The sequence below is a fragment of the Homo sapiens genome, chromosome 9 (genome assembly GCF_000001405.40).
Source record: "Homo sapiens chromosome 9, GRCh38.p14 Primary Assembly".
Classification (NCBI taxonomy): Eukaryota; Metazoa; Chordata; class Mammalia; order Primates; family Hominidae; genus Homo; species Homo sapiens.
In genome coordinates, this window is record NC_000009.12 from 15700282 (window position 1) to 15721241 (window position 20960).

A 20960-nucleotide genomic window follows, 5' to 3' on the forward strand; every position below is an offset into this window, starting at 1 on the left:
GGGTGCTAAGCCCCTCATTGCCCGGGGCTGGCAGGGCCGGCCGGCTGCTCTGAGTGTGGGGCCCGCCAAGCCCACGCCCACCCGGAACTCCAGCTGGCCTGCAAGCGCTGCGCGCAGCCCCGGTTCCCACTCACGCCTCTCCCTCCACACCTCCCTGCAAGCTGAGGGAGTGGGCTGCGGCCTTGGCCAGCCCAGAAAGGGGCTCCCACAGTGCAGCGGTGGGCTGAAGGGCTCCTTAAGTGCCGCCAAGGTTCGAGCCCAGGCAGAGGAGGCGCCGAGAGCAAGCGAGGGCTGTGAGGACTGCCAGCACGCTGTCACCTCTCAATATGGTAGCTTTATTTTTAGTTTTCTTTTATTTATTTTTTTTATTTTGTATTTTTTTTTTAACGAGTTAGACTCTTGGGATGTTGCCCAGGCTAGTCTTAAACTCTTGGTCTCAAGCAGTCCTCCCACTTCATCCTCCTGAGTAGCTGGGACTGCAGGTGCATGCCACCATGCCTGGCTTATTTTTAGATTTTTTGAGAAATCTCCATACTATTTTCATAATAGCTGTACTAATTTACATTCCCACCAACAATGTATAAGAGTTCTCTTTTATCCACATCTTCCCCATTATTAGTTTTTTTTTTTGTCTTTTTGCTACTAGCCATTCTAACTGTGGTGAGATGATATCTCATTGTGCTTTTGATTTGCGTTTCCCTAATTTATGATTTGAGCATTTTAAAATATACTCATTGGCCATTAGTATGTCTTCTTTTGAGAAATGTCTACTTATGTCCTTTGCGTGCTTTTTACTGGGATCGTTTGGGTGTTTTTTTGCTGTTGAGTTGTTTGAGTTCCTTGTGTATTCTGGATATTAGTCCCTTGTTTGATGAATAGTTTGTAAATATTTTCTCCCATTCTACAGGTTGTCTCTTCACTCTGTTGATTGTTTCCTTTGCTGGGCAGAAGCTATGTAGTTTAATATAGTCCCTTTGGTTTATTTTTGTTTTTGTTGCCTGTGCTTTTGAGGTTTTAGCCATAAAATCTTTGCCTAGATCAGTGTCCTGAAGGATTTCTCATATGTTTTTTCTAGTAGTTTTGTAGTTTCAGGTCTTATGTTTGAGTCTTTACTCCATTTTTAGTTGATTTTTTAATACAGGAAGAGGGGTCTACTTTCATTCTTCTACATATGGATATAATTTCTTAAGATGACAGTGATGAAGTTTGCTCCGTCAGTTGACTCTTATTTTCATGAAAGAATTCTCTGTACCATGCCATGCTATTTGATACCATTTTACCCTCAGTACAATTCCATTTTTTTTTTTTTTTTTTTTGAGACAGAGTATCGCACTGTTGTCCGGGCTGGAGCGCAGTGGCACGATCTTGGCTCACTGCAACCTCCGCCTCTCCGGAGTACAATTTCTTTTAAAATTGAGGTCAATTGTCTCAGACTCTGCTGCTGGTTTATCAACTACATTTATGTAATATCCTAAATCCTTTATTGTCATTTTATAAGGAACTCCTCAAAGTCATCCACGAGGATTGGAATCAACTTCTTCCAAATTCCTGTGACATATTGACTTACTCCCATGTATCACAAGTGTTTCTAATGGCACCTGGAATGGTGAATTCTTTGCAGAAGTTGTCAATATAATTTGCCCAGATCCATCAGAGGAATCACCATCTATGGCAGCTATAGCCTTATGAAATGTATTTATTAAATGATAAGACTTGAAAGTAAAAATTACTTCTTGATCCATGGGCTACAGAATGGATGTTGTGTTACCAGGCTTGAAAACAACATTAATCTCCTTATACATCTCAGAGCTCTTGGGTGACCAAGTACATTGTCAATGAACAATAATGTTTTGAAAGGAATCTTTTTGTGAGTAGTAAGTCTCAACAGTGGGCTTAAAATATTCAGTTAAACATTCTGTAAAGAGATGAGCTGTCATCCGTATGAGCTGTTCCAACTTGTCATCCAAGTTGAAGCCAGTGCTCATTTACCATTCAAAAATCCTGTGGCCCTTAAGAATTATGCTTTATCAACTCTGCCTGTGCCCTGGTAGCTGGTAATGTAGCTTGTCAGTTTAAGTTGAAGCCAATGCTCATTTACCATTGAAAAAATCCTAGGGCCCTTAAGAATTATTCTATATCTACTCTCCCTCTGCTCTATAAATGCTCTATAAATGCATAGGCAGAGTAGATAAAGCATAATTCTTAAGGGCCCTAGGATTTTTTCAATGGCAAATGAGCATTGGCTTCAACTTAAAGTCACCAGCCACATTAGCCCCTAACAAGAGAGTCAGCCTGTCTTTGAAGCCTTAAAGCCAGGCATTGACTTCTCCCCTCTAGCTGTAAAAGTCCTAGGTGACATTTTGCAACAAAAGACTGTTTAGTCTTCACTGAAAATCTGTTGTTTAGTGTAGCTACCTGCATCGGGGATTTTAGCTAGATCTGCGGATAACTTGCTACAGCTTCTACATCAGCATTTGCTGTTTGGCCTTACACTTTTGTGTTATGCAGAAGGCTTTTTTCCTTGAACTTCATAAACCAATCTCTCCTAGCTTTCACCTTTTCTTCTGCAGCTTCCTCACCTCTCTCAGCCTTCATCAAATTAAAGAGAGTTAGGGCCTTGGTTTTTTTTTTTTTTTCCCTGAGACGGAGTCTCACTCTGTTGCCCAGGCTGGAGTGCAGTGGCGCGATCTCTGCTCACTGCAACCTCCCTCTCCTGGGTTCAAGCGATTCTCCTGCCTCAGCCACCTGAGTAGCTTGGACTACAGGTGTGTGCCACCACACCCAGCTAATTTTTTTTAATTTTTAGTAGAGACGGGGTTTCACCATGTTAGCCAGGCTGGTCTCGAACTCCTGACCTTAAGCGGTCTGCCCGCCTTGGCCTCCCAAAGTGCTGGGATTACAGGCCTGAGCCACCACGCCCGGCCGGGCCTTGTTTTTAATTAGGCTTTGGCTTAAGAGAATGTTGTGGCTGGTTTGATCTGCGCAGACCATTACAACATTCTCCATATAGGTAATAAGGCTGGTTGTCTTTCTTATCATTCATGTGTTCACTGGAGTAGCACGAATGTGAACTAGAAACCTTCTAGAAAGGCGAATCCTTGTTTATATCCATTAATATATCTCTCTTCATTACCACCCCACCACCAGCCTCTGATAACCACCATTCTTCTCTCTACCTCCATGAGATCAATTTTTTTTTAGCTCTCATGTATGAGTGAAAACATGTAGTATTTGTCTTTCTGTGCCAGGCTTATTTCACTTAACATAATGTCCTCCAGTTTCATCCATGTTGCCACAAATGACAGGATTCTTTTTCTATGGGTGAGTGATATTTCAATGTGTATATATCCCACTTAAAATATCCCTTTATCCATTGATGGACACTTATGTGGATTCTGTATTTGGCTATTGTGAATAGCACTGCAGTTAACATGGGATTGAAGATATCTCTGTGAGACACTGATTTCATTTCTTTTGGATACATACTCAGCAGTGGGATTGCTGGATCATATGCTAGTTCTATTTTTAGTTTTTTGAGAAACCTCCATACTAGAGCATACAACATTTATTGGTTAAGTTCACCATCTTCTATGGGCATGGTTTGTGGTGTCCCAAAACAATTACAATAATAACATTAAAGATCACTGATCATAGATCACCATAATATATATAGTAATCATGAAAAACTTTGAAATACTGCAAGAATTACCAAAATATGACATGGAGACACAAAGAGAGCACATGCTGTTGGAAACATGATGCCAATAGACTTGCTCAAGGTAGGTTGCCACAAACCTGCAGTTTGTAAAAATCGCAATACCTGTGAAGCACTGTAGAATGAAATGCAATAAAACAAGGTATGTTAGGATATCTTTGAGGGAAAAATCTACTTTAAATAGTGACATTTGTGTGTATTTGTTTGTAGCACATTCTTAGAATTTGTAACAAAATTAATTCATTAATCAAGTGCTAGGTGTGCACATATGGTCCCAGCTACTCCCGAGGCTGAAGGAAGAGGATTACTTGAGCCTAGGAGTTCAAGTCCAGACTGGGCAACATAATGAGATCCCATCTTTAACAAATGAATAAGTAAATAATTAATTCTGTTATCTTGGGAAGAATTTTCCAGAGATCTTCTCTTTTTTAGCTACGGCAAGAAGGCAGTGGCGCTTTACCTCCTTTTTGTCTCTTGACATACCTTTCAGTTTAATACATGCTTTGTATCTAACCTCTATTTCAGGAAAAGTAATCCATGGTAGAAATTTATAGGGACAGTAGCAAAATTGTTTTTTGGGCTTGCTTTTCAAAATGAAATGAATGAAAACTATTTTCTTGAATTAATCTTAACTTAGAGCTGGCAGAAATTCTCAGATTTTCAATTCTCTGTCTCCTTCAGATTTTGTAGTTTTCTACATTAAGAAACTTTCCGATGCACATGTCCCACCAGCTTATATTCAGGTAGCAGATAAGTGAAATTTCAGTAAGTCCAAGACGTTCCAGAAGTTATTTACCGAGAGGATTTAACTTGATCTCCTCACCTGTGATCAGTGTAACAGTTTACACCTTGTTTCCTAATGCCTCTAACCCTGGCCTTCTTGTGACTAATGGGGTCTCTCTGCTTCCACCTTTGCTCCCCCTCAGTCTGTTTTCTCTGTAGCTACCAGAAGGACCATTTATGAGCTTAGGTTACAAACTTACAGGTATAGAGTAAGTTCTGGGGATCTAATGTACAACATGGTGACAATAGTTAATAATGCTGAAATAATACTGTTTACTTGAAATTTGCTAATAGATCTTAAGTATCCTTACGACACACACACACACACACACACACACACACTCTCACTCACTCAGATAACTAAGTGTGGTGATGGACGTGTTAATTAACTTGGTTGTGGTAATCATTTCATAGTGTATATGGATATCAAGTAATGAAGTTTTGCACCTTGAATGTATATAATCTTTTTTGGCAATTATACTTCTGTAAAGCTGGACGGAAACTACAACAACAAAAAACCTAAGTTAGAGTGTGTCATTCCTTTGCTCTAAACCTTGTAAGGTCCTGTGCTTTACTTAGAAGCCAAAATGGTATCAATGGCTTGCTTATTTTTCATTGCTTCTTTGGCCTCACCTCCCACTACTCTCCCCTCCTTCCCTATGTTTGGGCCACTCTAGCTTCTTGCCATTTCTTGAATATGCCAAGCATGCTTTTGCCTTAGATGCCTTTGTACTGACCATTCCTTCTACCCAGAAAGCTTTTTACCTAGTGTATCTGTATAGCTCTCTTTCTTGTCTTCCTTCGGCCTGTGCTCAGATCTCACCTTGTCCATGAAGCTTGCTTACTTCCCACTCCTATGTTATTTGGGCTCACTGTGTCTCTCCCTTGCATGCTCTACTTTTTTCCCCCATAGCACCTATTGCAGTCAAACATTTCTATCATAGTATATGGAACATTTATTATTATATTTCAGTTCCATGAGGATGAGAATCTTTGTCTCCTTTAATCATTAGTGTATTTTAAGCAGCTAGAATAGTACTTGGCACAAAACAGTCACTCAAAAAGTATTTGTCGAATATGAATAAAAATATGAATGAATTAATATCAGGTTGAAGGTCTATTTTACATTTTAAGTTTTGAAGTTATAAAGGTGATCATGGAATCTCTTTCTAAATTACAGCAGCTCTTTGGGTAGCATCCATAAGGAGTCACCAGAAAGATTGACCTCCAGTGGAACAGATGTACAATCTTTCATGGATCATAGAAATGCCATCTTGATTGCCTCTATCATTAGGGACATTTATTTCCTATTTCTGCTTTCTACTATCAACTAAAATTGAAGCACTACAGTTGCTCCTGTCTCATTTCTTTTCAGGTAGAAATTCTTATAGTAGGATGTGTGTGGGGAAATCTTTTTCTGCTTTGAACCCATGTAGTCTTCCTTCCTTCCTTCCTTCCTTCCTTGCTTCCTTCCTTCCTTCCTTCCTTCCTTTCTTCCTTCCTTTCTTTTTCTGCATCTTTTCTTTTCTTGGCAGGATCTCACTCTGTTGGTTGGGCTGGAGTGCAGTGGTGCAGTCATGGCTCACTGCAGTCTCAACCTTCTGGGCTCAAGTGATCCTCCCACCTCAGCTCCCAAGTAGCTGGGACTACAGCACATGCCATCATGCTTGGCTAAATTTTGTATTTTTTATAGAGATGGGATTTCACCATGTTGCCCAGGCTGGTCTCCAACTGCTGAGTTTAAGCAATCCTCCCACCCCAGCCTCCCAAAGTGCTGCGATTATAGGTGTAAGCTACTGTGCCCAGCCCCATGTAGTATTTTTGCTGTGAGTATTTCTTCTAATAGTTTCACTTATGCCTGAGGGTGTCAGCAAACATCAAGAATGTGACTTTTTCTTCTTAGGATTCATGAAAGAAAGTCTTCCTTGTGGCTCAGTCTTGAATTTTTTTAGGGTGGTTGACTTTCATGTTCACTGAGACTCCAACTTTCTTCAGCTTTCCTTGAGGAAATAATTTGTAATACTCTAGAGGTGTTCTTTTCCTTTTTACTTAGAGAGGCTGAAGGATCCCAGGAAATAAAAGCAGTAGCATTTGATTCCTTTGGGCATGTATGTGTCACCCAGGAATTGGGCAGTCTCAGGGAGTGCTCTTGGGAAAATCAAGACAACAAATTGGATTTTTCCTCCCCCCTTTCCTGCTTTACTTCTTTCATAAAGGAATATTGCCTACACCTAGTATCCTCTTGAGAATTTTTAATTGTTCTTGTGAACCTTGTAGCTGGTATCTTTTTAACTAGAGTCTCATGGGTGGTTGAGGAGCTGAGGATGGCTGTAGGAGCAGTACACCGTTTCCTCTGTTGTCATTTGCAGATTTTTTCTCTCTGGCTTCCCTTATCTCCTAATTCACTGAGGTTTACAAACCAAACTTGCCGCACTTCATTATACTCATAGTTTCAGTTTATGAAATCCAAGGGAGTAGCTTTACTGAGTACTCAACATTTTGTAATGAGGTCATTAATATATGCCAATGTACATTTTTTGACTTTTCTTAATGCAAAGAATGCTTGTAAATGTCAGAATATTTTGTTTCAGGCATAGCTACTTTGGTTACGATTTGATAACAATAGAAACTCATTTCTATTTTGCTTCATCTATTCAGAGTATGTTAAAGGTAGTTGATAGTTGGAATAAAGTGAGACTATGCCATTTAACTTTATGCTAATCACTACTCATTTCCAACCATCTTTTGTAGTCTTCTTGTTCTCTTCTCTTTGGATTTTCTGCCTTCTTTTTATTTATCCACTTTCTCCCTTCCTTACTTTACAGTTATATCTCAACTTCATAGACTTTCCTAGAAATGGAGTGTTATCATTCATCCCAAAGTTTAAAAACATACTATTATTCTCCTTCTCTTTCCTACTTTTTCTGGAGACGTGAATTTTAAATGACGGAACTGAAACAATTCATTGTGTTTCATCTTGTTATCCTTATTTCTCTTTAAGTTTTAAATTGTTTGTAGAGAGTATAGTATTGTATAAAGAAAACATTCAGATAATTAAAAATGCTGATTATTAATATTATTATTTTGAGATGGAGTCTTGCTCTGTCGCCCAGGCTGAAATGCAGTGGCATGATCCTGGCTCACTGCAACCTCCACCTCCTGGGTTTAAGCACTTCTCCAGCCTCAGCCTCTCAGGTAGCTGGGATTACAGGCATCCAGCACTACGCCTGGCTAATTTTTGTACTTTTAGTAGAGATGGGGTTTCATCATGTTGGCCAGGCTGGTCTTGAACTCCTGACTTCAGGTGATCTGCCCGTCTTGGCCTCCCAAAGTGTTGGGATTACAGGCATGAGCCACTGCACCCCCAAAATACTGATTATTAAGCATTTCTTCGTGCCTATGTTGTTATTTATGATTTGCAAACAATCAAGTTTAAAGTGTCAACAGCCTGGTAGCCTCCTATAAAATAGTTCCACACTTTCATACTAATGATTGCACAGAAATGTTGAAAACACATAGTAATGCTGGAAATCAAATAAATATTCACCCTCCCTTGGGGAGAGTATATATAATACGTAGTCAATAGAACTGGAATGAAAGTACAATCAGCTTCCCTTTGACTTATCCTATGACAGTAGACAGACATTTTGTTCTCCTGCCACGGTATCCTCCCTCTTTTGGAAATGGAGGGTCTGTACCAACTAGAAAATTGGGAAGCTATCTTTCTACTGTGTAGGTGCTGCTTTCTGAGGCAATAAGAGTATTCTCCCCATCTTTCTTTCAACTCCCATACCATCTCCGTGTAACTCCCAGAATACAGCTAGCCAGGAATGACCCACGGATTGGAGGTAAAGTTCTGAGAAGTCTCCTTTGTATTATCTCTAGGAATCAAGACAAAAAAAAAACATTGGTAGCAGTTCATACTAGAGATAAAATTTTCCCTATAGTCTATCTAACTATATGTGCCAGAAGTCCAGGGAGTAGATTGGGAGATGATACCACCTAAGTTCAGGGATTGCTGCTTGCTGAAAAATATAATAGGAACTGTGTACACTCATGTAGCTTCAGATATTGATCTTAGAGGGAGTTTTATCACCATGTAATTGATTCAGAGTAGAACTTTGGAGAATTTATACATACAGTCTTTTTTCAAACTTTCTAAATATTGTTAGGGTTTTACTCTTTTTTTTCATTTAAAAATTAAGGAAAACTAAATAGAATTTGTGAAAAACTAAGCACCACAAAACGAGGGGAAAGGAACAGTACCTGGTACATTTAGAACAGAGTGGTGAAATGATTCACCATGGAAATTGGAATAAAATTTAGAAGCTATTTGGCATCCACAGTAGGCTACAAAAAGAAATGACCTTTTTCAAATGGGATTAATAAGGAAAGAATAGGCTGAAATAGAAAAAGGTTAATTCTCCTCCTACTCCGAAAAAACCCAGTAAGATTAACAGGTAAAAGAATGACATAAGGAAGGAGTCTAAGGAAACTAAAAATAGGATAGTAGATTAAAATTGTGAGTAGCTATGACAGAATTGACATTAGAAAATCTACAGTCTACAATTAACATTTTAGATTGGTGATTTGGAGGACAAAATGTAGAAAAAAGAACACAGATAAAATGCAGAGGAAAAGAACAAAGAATTAAAACAGATAAGGAAAGAAAAACAGAGGGAAAAGATGATAATATGGAGTACCAATGAAAAGATTGTACGTCTTTCTAAGGCAAAAACTAGAGTAAATGAAACAAATGTAATAATTGAAGACATAATTCAAAAATACTTGTTTGAGATAAAAAAGATTGTAGCATGCCAGATGAGATCACTGCTTTACAGGGAAAAATAATCAAATAACACCTGCATTTAAATATATTTTTGAAATTTTTAAAACTATAAGAATAAAGGAAAAATGTGTTACCTATAAGAGCAGAAATATGTATAATGAACATGTTTTTTCTTACTCCCAAGAGAAACCTCAGTAAAGTTTACTTCAAAAAAGATAAGATCCTCCTATGATCTTTCTTCCTTCAAATTCATCCAGTAATTAATTGCATATCTTTTTTTATGAAAAATTTCAAATATGTACAAAAGGAGGCAGAATAGTGTAACAAAATCTGTTGCCCTCATCACTCAGATCAACATTTATCAACTTAAGAACCAATTTTGTTTCATCTACTTCCCCTCTGCTGTATTATATTGAAAGCATATCCCAGCTATTTCTGTATTATATATCTGTATAATACAGATATCTGCTGTATTATATTGAAAACATGAAAATATGTTTAATTGTATTCATAAATATTTAACTTTGACTCTAAAAAATGAAGTCTTTTAAAAATATAAATATAAGATCATTATAATATGTAAAAAGTTAAAAATTTCTTAGTGTCATAAATTTCAAAGTTTCTTGTATATCTCATATAATATCAGTTAGTTTAAATTAGTATGCAGAGAAGGTCTAGATATTATGGTTGGCTGATTTTAAAAAATCTGTAGGTTCCTCTCCTCTTCTGTCTCTCTCTCTCTCTCTCTTTCTTTTTTGAGATGGAGTCTCACTCTGTCACCCAGGCTGGAGTGGCGCCATCTCAGCTCACTGCAAGCTCCACCTCCCAGGTTCATGCCACTCTCCTGCCTCAGCCTCCCAGGTAGCTGGGACTGCAGGTGCCTGCCACCATGCCCCGCTAATTTTTTTGTGTTTTTGGTAGATGGGGTTTCACCATGTTAGCCAGGATGGTCTCAATCTCCTGACCTCATGATCCGCCCGCCTCGACCTCCCAAAGTGCTGGGATTACAGGTGTGAGCCACTGTGCCAGGCCCTCTTTCATTTTTTTGAGATGGAGTCTCACTCTTCTCCAGGCTGGAGTACGGTGGCACAATCTCAGCTCACTGCAACCTCCATCTCCCAGGTTCAAGCGATTCTCCTGCCTCATCCTCCCGCGTACCTGAGACTACAGGTGTGCACCAACACGTACAGCTAATTTTTGTATTATTTAGTAGAGATGGGGTTTTGCCGTGTTGACCAGGATGGTCTTGAACTCCGGACCTCAAGTGATCCACCTGCCTCGGCCTCCCAAAGTGCTGAGATTACAGGCGTGAGCCACCGTACCCGGCCTTCTGTCTCTTTTTATCATTTTTGTTTGAAATTTATTTGTTAAAAAACTGTTTCATTTGTTCTAGGAGTTTCACAGCCTGCATTTTTCTGATTGCATCCCATTGTATAGTTTAACATGTTTTTTTGTTCTGTAGATTTTCTCCCAATTGGTAATGGAATCTGCAGTAATGGAAATGTTCTGTATCTGTTGTTCTAGTATAGTAGACTCTAGCCACATGTGGCTATTAAGTGCTTTTAATATTACTATCGTGACTAAGGAATTGAAAATTTAATTTTAACTAATTTAAATATGAATACGAATAATCACTGTTAAATAAATTTTACTATCCACAGATTGGACAGTACAGAATTGAAGGCTTGATTAAGGCTTGGCCTCTGATTTTCTTTAAAATTGTATATTTTTAAAAATTCACTTTAAATTCTTCATCTTGTACACTTCTTTTTTGAGTTCTATAAGTCTTTGACCTATATCAGTTTGAATTTTCAATTTTTGTTTCTCAATTCATATCCTGTTTAACACTATCATATTTGTTATGATAGGTTTAATTACATTTTGCCTTTACTAGGCTTGTTCTTATTATTTCTCTTTAGGAGAAATTGTAGACTTTTTTTCCATTTTAGTGATAGAATATTAAGAATTATAAATATAAGAAGTAACTGTGAAGATCAAGTGTGCATTATAAGATAAGAACATGTAAAGCTAGAGTTTGATTGGGTAGTCAGAACCACTATAGTATTTTTGAATAAGGAATTTGTTGTAAGAATTAGACCTTATGCAATTGTGGGAGGAGCTGGGAAAGTAAGGTCAGATAAACCCATTGTAAGTCGAGGAGCATATTGAATGTGTATTGCTTTGGCACTATTGTAAAGTTGAGAAATCTTAAGTTGAATCATTGTAAGTTGAGGCTGTCTGTACTCTGTACTTAGTCCTTCTTTTTCTATCTGGTCACATGTAACTGGTATTTTTAACTTCCTTTACTACCCATACCCTATTGCTTTGCTGTCAGCAAGCATCTCAGCTGGATATGGTTCCATCTCTGGCGAGGTGGTCCACACCTGTATTCCAGGAGGGTCTATTATCCGGGAGAGCTGTATGGTTCTAGTCTGAGTTTGAAGTCCTGAGAACTGGGAGAGCTGATGATGTAAGCTCTGGCAGGAGTCTGAGCCTGAAAGCAAGAGAAGATTGATGTTGCAGCCCAAAGACAGCAAGGCAGAGAGAAAGCATTCTTTCTTACTCAGGGTTTTATTCTCTTCAGACCTTCAACAGATTGGATGAAGCCCACTCAAGTTAGGGAGGGCAATCTGCCAATTCAGATGTTAATCTCCCTTGCAGACATACCCAGAAATAGTGTTTAACCACATATTTGGGCACCCAATGACCCAGTCAGGCTGATAAAAAATTCACCATCACATCCCCTTTTCTCCTTCCTCCTTGTCCCTGGTAACCTCCATTCTACTTTCTTTTCTATGAATTTGACCACTTTAGATACCTTATATTAAGTGGAATCATACAGTGTTTGTGTTTTTGTGATGAGAAACATAGTAAGACCAGTGAATCCTATGGAAACAATCTTATTTCCACACTTCATTTGCTGTAAAATGCATTCTCTGATCAGAAGCAATGCCATTTGGAATACATGATGGTGAATTAAAGTATTTTGTGTACACATGGATGGTAGTTTGGTCAGAAACGTTATGGTTAGGGAAGGAAAATCCGTATTCAGAGTAAGTGTCTATCTTAGTAAGAATAAAGCATTGCCCATTCCATGATGAAAGTTACTCAGTGTGATCAACCTGCCACCAAGTTGCTATCTCATCCTCCCAGAGGATGGTGTCATATCATGGTCTCAGTGTTTGTTTTTGCTATTGGTGAATTTGGCACTCAACAGGAGTTGTAACCCAATCAGCCTTGGTGAATGGAAGTTCATATTGCTGAGCCTGTGTATTACCTCTGTCCTTGCTGCTATGACTCTTTTGTTCAATTTTGTAAAGACAAAGATGGCTAGGAAAAAACATTGGTTGATATCCATAGAATACTTCATTTTGCCCTCCTGATTATTAAGATCCTTGTCTACTGAAGTTGATCTGGGCACAGTGCCCATTTGAAGAAGTCTGTCCACATATTCTTCCCCAGACAACCTTGTTACCAATTTTCTATTCACATTCTTTCCAAGTACCTAACCATTCAGCCAAACAGTTAGACACCACACATGAATTGGTGTATATTTGTATATTTGGTCTTCTCTCATTCTAGGAAGAATGATAGTCACATCCACTACTTGACGTTCTGCTTACTGGAAGGATTCTTTTTACCACTGTTCTCCCGAGCCAGCCTTGAGTGGGGCTGTAGTGCTGCTGCAGCTGCCTATTTTTGAATCATGTCACCATAACATACAGAACCATCTATAAACCAAGCCCATTTTTTTTTTTTTCTATTTGTGAGCTGGTCATAGAGAACTCTCCATGCATCCAAGGTGTGGGTTAAGAGAGAGAAAGCAATGTAACAGGAATAGGGCCCATGGGAATCTGGACTACTTGCTCATACAACTTATTTGTGCCTTCGGGACTTTTATGCCACTTTCATTTGATGATAGAGTGCTCTTGTGTATGCCAAAATTTATGGATTGGTGGATCACACAGTAACCGTTTCATGATGGGCACCCTCTAGTCACATGGTGAATTGTTGGCCATGTATTCAGTATCTGCTGAGGACCAGTAGCAAGTCCAAAGCCCATTTTCAAAAGGAGAATAGTTATCTGTAGTGGATGACTTACTTTGCTTCTAACTCCTAAAAGTTTACACTATGATCCACTCATAAGGACCTGTGAAATGCTATATACATCTTGAATTTGAGTAGTTGCTACTTTCTGTTCATCAGGTGCATTCAGAATGATGCCATCAATTTAGTAGAGAATGAAGTGGAGCATGTGAGATCTTTGGTAATGGAGAGTTGATTAAGATTTCTACATACTAGATTGTGATAGAGAGCCAGAGTTGATATAGCTCTGTGGTAGGGCGGCAACAAAGGTACATTGCTGGTCCTGCTAGATGAAAAAAACTGGTTTTGGTGGTCTTTACTAAGGGGGTAGAATGAATAGCTTCATTCCAATTGCCAGAAAATGTGTTGATTTGTTTCACAATGAAACTGCATATTTAATTGCAGCAGCAATTGGAGTCATATTGATTAATTCACTGTCATTCTGTAAGATCCATCTGTATTCTGCAGCGGCTGAGTTAGGTGAGTTGAATGCTGATGTGGTAGGAATCACCATGCCTTTATCTTTCAATCCTTTAAAAGGCAGTAATCTCTACAGTCTTGCCAGGAGTGTGGCATTACTTTCAATTTGTGTTTTGGTAGGTAAAAGTTCCAGTGATTTCCTCTTGGCTTTTCCACTTGATTTTCCTCTGTAATATCCCTCACTCTATAGGTCAGGTAACCACTGTGGACACTGTGCCAGTTGCTGCATCTGTCCTTTCTAAATATGTGTTCCAAACTCGGAGAATAACTATGGGGTGGGTTCAGGTACCTACTGGACCGACTAGAGAGAGGCCTCAGCTAAAACTCAGTTAATTACCTGACCTCTGTAAGCTCCTACCCTGACTACAGAAACCACAGTAGCACATTTTATGTCTCCCTGAATTAATGGCAGTTCAGATCCAGTGTCCAGTTATCCCTGATAAGTGTAGTTAATTCCTCCCCCCGGTACAGTTACCCTGTTAGATGGTTGCATGTTTCTTTGAGGAAGGTTAGGAGGAAGATTTACGGTATTTTTTGGCACTATGTCAGGATTGCTAACAGAGACCCATCGTCTTTATTCACAGGTCCCTAGGTCTGTGAATTAGCTCAAGTCTGAGAAGTATTTGAGGACTAATTCTTCCTTTTTTGTTTACTTAAGTCCTGCTTGTGGTAATCAGAGCTAGGACTTTTCTACTTATGCAAACCAAATGAGACTTAACTATGCTGCCCATTTATTTTGGTTCTAGGAACACCATGATCAGTTAGCCAATGTCAGTGATCTCTGTAGGTCAAACCATTTTGTTTATTGCTTTGACTCCACTACCCATTATGTTAAACATGTCCACTTTGTCTCTGGAAGTTAATTGCTACCATTTGGTCTCTTGTTACCCAAGATCCAATCACTTGCACTAAATTCAGGGAACCCATTTTGATGGCACCAGTGTTTGCTGTTAATCTTTGCCTTCTAGCCACATGGAGCTTATCAAGCTACACAGAACTCATCAACGAAGCAGGGACTTCCGTTACTAATATATTTCTCAAGCTTTGGTAAAGGAAGTGTTTTTTGAATTCTCCCAAGAGACGTAGTTAGAGAGTGAGAAGGACTTACATAATAAATACTTTCCATATGTTAGAAAAGTTATGAACCATTTTTCCTAAACACTCTAGAATAGGCACTAATGTTTGCAAGATAATGAAAGATGTTTATTTATAAACTTAGTGATTAAGACAATATACAGTGTTGTGGTCTGAGTTCAAAAAAAGTCTAACTGCCAATAAAATGTTTGTATTAGTGCTTTTAAAATGAAAACAGAATTTTCTTAGTTATCAATACATTATATATTAAATGTTTGGATTTTATCAGGTGAAAACAAAACTCATTTGAACATTATTTCCTGTTTTCTACTACAAGATAAAAAATCAACACTAAACAACAGAGTTCAGTTCAAAACATGAACGTGACTACTCATATCCTATATTGATAGCTGTATAAAAAAAGCTCTGTCTTTTGTCTGTATTCTCCCTCCATTATTTCTTACTAATTCTCCCTTCTTGGGATCTTGTAGAAAAATGAAGTAGGTAACAAGGTGGTTAAGAAGATGGAGAAGATAGACTCCATTCATGAAAAGTTACTGTTTTTTTCTGTAGAACTATGGATTACTGAAATAATGATGTCAGCTTGAAAAACAATGATTTATATGAGTTATGAAAAATTATTTAGTTTTTGAGATTGTCTAAAAGGAAACGTGTAAATAGAGGGCTTGGAACCTTTTTTCTACTCCACCTCCTCCTGTGGGCTACTAATTCAAGAAAAGATTTGCCAAAGTACAGCCAGAGTTGAAACCTACTTAAAAGTGAGAGGGAGAGATCGAAACAGGGTATGGTGAGTGAAAGTAACCCACATATTTGGGCACCCAGTGACCCAGTCAGGTTGACAAAAAATTCACCATCACATCCCCTTTTCTCCTTCCCCCTTGTCCCTGGTAACCTCCATTCTACTTTTTTTCTATGAATTTGACCACTTTAGATACCTTATATTAAGCACAAGTATAGACAGAGGGAGAGAGAAGCTCAGGATTTTGAGTTGATGTTATTCAAGTATAAAGTGTTCCTGATATATTCTATTCTTCATTTGGAATTTCACTTTTGAAAAGCTAATTATGATCACTGTTCAGATCTTTTTTGCTACTCTTTGTGAGTTTTTAAACCTTTCTTTGATAGGATAGCTTTTATAGTTCATTGTTTTTCGGGCCATACTGCAGTGATTAAAAGATTATTAGGTTAAGTCAAATCACTCAATAAGGTCCTCGGTTTAGGGTGACCCTTTTTTTTTTATTTGTAAGCATTTTGTCAGGTTAAGGGACCAGTAAGTGTTTCTTTTTTATAATAAATTTGGGTGGGATATTGTCTTAGTTCCTTTTGTGCTGCTATAACAGAATGCCTGAGACTGGGTAATTAATAAAGAAAGGAGATTTATTTCTTACAGTTCTGGAGGCTGGGAAATCCAAGATTGAGGGGCCAACATCTGGTGAGGGCCCTTATGCTACATCATCTCATGGTAGAAGATGAAAGGGCAAGAGAGAGCAAGAGTTGGGGAGAACTGACTTTTATAACAAACCTACTTCTAAGATAATAAACCCATTCCTGTGATGACATTAATTCATTCATGAGAGTAAAGCCCTCATAACCCAGTAACCTCTCAAAGATTCCACTTCTCAACACTGCATTGGGGATTAAGTTTCCAACACGTGAACTTTGGAGGACATATTCAAATCATAGCAGCTGGAGGCTGAGCAAGATGGCTGAATAGAAGCCTCCAGTGATCATCACCCCCACAGGAATACCAAATTTAACAGTTACGTAGGCAAAAAAAACCACCTTCATAAGAACCAAAAATCAGATGAGCAGTCACAGTACCTGTTTTAAACTTCATATCACTGAAAGAGGCATTGAAGAGGGTTGAAAGACAGTCTTGAATTGCTGACACCACCACTCTTCCATGCCCCAGCAGCGGCTATGTGGTGGGGGGAATCTGTGCACTTGGGGAAGGGAGAGCACAGTGATTGTGGGACTTTGCATTGAAGCTCAGTGATGCCCTGTCACAGTGGAAAGCAACACTGAGAATAAGCCAGTGCTCACGGAGGGAACATTTAGACTAGTCCTAGCCAGAGGGGAATTGTCCATCCTAGCATTTGGAATTTGAGCTCTGACAAGCCTTGCCACTGTGGACTAAAGTGCTCAGGGTCCTAAATAAACTTGAAAGACAATCTAGGCCACAAGGACTGCAACTCCTAGGCAAGTCCTAGTGCTGTGCTGGGCTCGGAGCCAGTGGACTTAGAGGGTATGTGACCTAGTGAGACACCAGCGGGGGCAGCAAAGGGAGTGCTTGCAGTACCCCACCTCCAGATTCAGGCAGCACAGCTCACAGCTCTGAAAGAGACCCCTTCTTTCTGCTTAAGAGGTGAGGGAAGAGTAAAGAGAACCTTTTCTTGCAACTTGGATACCAGCTTAGCCACAGAAGGATAGAGTACAAGGCAGAGTCCTGAGACACTCATTCCAGGCCTTAGCTCCCAGATGACATTTCTAGACACACCCTTGGCCAGAAGGGAATCTACTGCCTTGAAGTGAAGGACCCAATCCTGGCAGGATTCATCACCTACTGACTAAAGAGCCCCTGGGGCCTGAATAATCAGCAGCAATACCCGTGTAGTACACACGGACCTTTGGTGAGAATCTGAGATCTGCTGGTTTGAAGTGTGGCCCAGAACATTCACAGCTGTAGTGGCTACGGCAAGAGATTATTTCTGCTTGAGAACAGCAGAGAGAAGAATAAAGGGGACTTTGTCTTGCAGCTAAGTTAGCTTGGCCACAGGGTGGTAGAGCACCAAGTGGGTTCTTGGGGTCCTTGATTCCAGGCCTTGGCTCTTCGATGGCATTTCTGGACCTGCCCTTGGCCAAAGGGGAGTCTGCTGCCCTGAAGGATGATTCCCAGACCTGGCAGCATTCACCACAAGCTGACTGAAGAGCTCTTGGACCTTGAGTGAGCCTTGGCAGTAGCCTGGAAGTACTCCTGGTGGGCCTGTGGCAGTGGTGGCCAGGGGGAGAGACTCCTCTGCTATGGAAATGGGAGGGAAGAGTGGGAAGGACTTTGTCTTGTGCCAGTTCAGCCTCAGTAGAATAGAGTACCAGGTAGATTCCTAAGGTTTCCAACACCAGGCCTTGGCTTCTGGACAGCATCTCTGGATCTTCCCAGGACCTGGGGGAGCTTGCCATCTTGAGGAGAAGGACACAATCCTGGCTGGCTTCACTACCTGCTTATTGTAGAGCCCTAGGGCCTTGAGCAAACATAGGCAGTCGCCAGTTAATGGTTACAGCAGGTCTTGGGTGATACTCAGTGCTGTGCTGGCTTCAGGTTTGACCTAGTGCAGTCCTACTGGTGGTGGCCACAGGGGTGCTTGTGTCACTTCTCCCCCAGTTTTAGCTCAGCACAGAGAGACTCTGTTTGGGAGAAAGTAAGAGAAGGCAACAAGAGTCTCTATGTAGTAATCTAGAGAATTCCTCTGAATTTTATCAAGACCACAAAGGTGGTGCCTCTGTGAGTCTGCAGGAGCCACAGTGTTACTGGGCTTGGGGTGCCCCCTAATGCAGATATAGCTGCAGTGGCCAAAAACTTAGATCACAACACCTAAAGACGTTTAAATACTGGGAAAGCCTTCTCGGGAAGGACAGGTACTAATAAGTCCAGACTGCATAGACTAAAATAAATAACTAACTCGTCAATGCCCAGACACTGAAGAACATCCGCAAGCATCAAAACCATCCCAGAAAACATGACTTCAGCAAACAAACTAAATAAGGGACCAGAAACCAACCCTGGAGATACAGAGATATATGACCTTTCAGATAGAGAATTCAAAAGAACTGTTTTGAGGAAATTTAAAGAAATTTAATATAACACAGAGAAGTAATTCAAAATCCTATCAGATAAATTTAACAAAGAGACTGAAATAAAAAGAATCAAGCAGAAATTCTGTAGTTGAAAAATGCAGTTGACAATGAAGAATGTGTCAAAGTCTCTTAACAGTAGAATTGATTAAGCAAAAGAAAGAATTAGTGAGCTTGAAGACAGGTATTCGAAAATACACAGTCAGAGGAGACAAAAGAAAACAGAATAAAAAAGAATGAAGCACTCCTACAGGATTTAGAAAATAGTCTCAAAAGGGGAAATCTAAGAGTTATTGGCCTTCAAGGCTGGCGGGGGGGTGGGGGGCGGGGCGGGGGAAAGAGAGAGAGAGAGAGAGAGAGAGAGAGAGAAAGTTTATTCAAATGGATAATAATAGGGGACTTTCCAAAGCTAGAGAAATATATCATTATTCAAGTACAAGAAGGTTATAGAACACCAAGCAGATTTAACCCAAAGAAGACTCCCTCAAGGCATTTAATAATTTAGCCATAGCAGACATAAAGCTTACTTTGTACTTCAACTAAACTTTATTATATAAACATTTTCAGGAAATAAAACTTTATTTTATTTAGAATATAAGAATGTTCATAGGTCAGTAAGGAGAGGGCATTTTGTCCCATTACTCTTCAGCACTCATATTAAGATGATTTTATTCTTCTGAATTTCTAAGAGGAAGTTTTCTCCCTTATTGTAAAAATGCAGATTTCCCGAGTGTCCTTGAATGATTTATTCATGGTCTACTTGTGTAGTAGCAAAAGAAAAGAATTATACATTACTTTTTTTTTCATCTTGTGCAAGAGAGGAGTTTAAAAATATATATTTGATAAGACCTTTAATAAAATTTTTAATGAGTTGTCTTTCCAACTCATAGTCATTACGAAGAGTACTGTCTCCTCTATTATCATGGCTCAGAAGAGTGTATTTCTTTTCCTAGCTGTCATATGTGTTGTTTCCACATTACTTTTGGTTTTTAAGTTAAATGTTCCTCTTCTGTTAAAGAAAAACCAAGTTGTACCCATATATAAGTTGGTGCTTAAATTATACCTTGATAAATGTCATAAATATATTAATAACATTTTCTCCAAGATTTAAACATGAGATATCACCATACTCTGAGCTGAGTAAAGTTGCTCTATCATTAACTAAGAATTTTTCCCCTTTCTTCCTTCTTTATTACTGCCTTCCCCCACTTCTCCATAAGTTCTAATAATAGAATATTTGAAGAATGGATAAATGATGTCATATAATTTTTTATCTACTATCTTTCTCTTATTAAACCTTAAATTCTATAAAGACAGAGGCTATACCTTTCTTGTTTATCTTTGTATGCATAATGCCTAAGATTAGTATGTAGTAGGAATTCAGTAAATTAGTTGAATGAATGAATAGTAGGACGTATAATATGAATGCTGCTCTTAAAATTTAGCTTTGTTGAAAATCCGTTTCGTGTATATTGAAATATTTATATTATAAAATATGATGAGAAGAAATAACAAGAAAAGAAAAATATTTTCAATGTGAATATTTAAAAACTGAATTTGCTACTTGCTTTTTAACACTTAAAGAATAGTGCAATCAACAATCAATTTTTTTAGTATATTTTTTATTGTACTTTAAGTTCTAGGGTACATGTGCACAATGTGCAGGTTTGTTCCGTGTGTATGCATGTGCCATGTTGGTGTGCTGCACCCATTAACTCGTCATTTACATTAGGTATATCTCCTAATGCTATCCCTCCTCCCTCCACCCACCCCACAACAGGCCCCAGTGTGTGATGTTCTCTTTCCTGTGTCAAGTGTTCTCATTGTTCAATTCCCACCTATGAGTGAGAACATGCAGTGTTTGGTTTTTTGTCCTTGTGATAGTTTGAATCAACAATCAATTTAGTTTTTGAAATTCAACTTTTTGGATTAATACTTGGAGCTACGTTTGATCATGTGACCTTTATTAGCTCAACTAACATAATTTATGGCCCAACTAAATTAAAGTAGTTTGAGGGCATAACATGGAAATGCTCATATTTTTACCATGAGTATCAGTTTTAAGGGTTTTAATTGAAACATGATGTAGGCTATGTAGATAATAGCATTTTTATTGTTTATTTCAAATTGTAACTTGAGAATTTTAAGGATTGAAGAATATTT

The 20960-nt window shown here is 38.9% G+C and overlaps 1 protein-coding gene across 35 annotated transcripts in view; it reads left to right on the plus strand.

The window, feature by feature from the left end:
- The window catches only part of CCDC171 (coiled-coil domain containing 171), a 556042-nt gene that overhangs the window by 147397 nt on the left and 387685 nt on the right, over window positions 1–20960 (plus strand). The gene's annotated exons all lie outside the window — the stretch shown is intronic.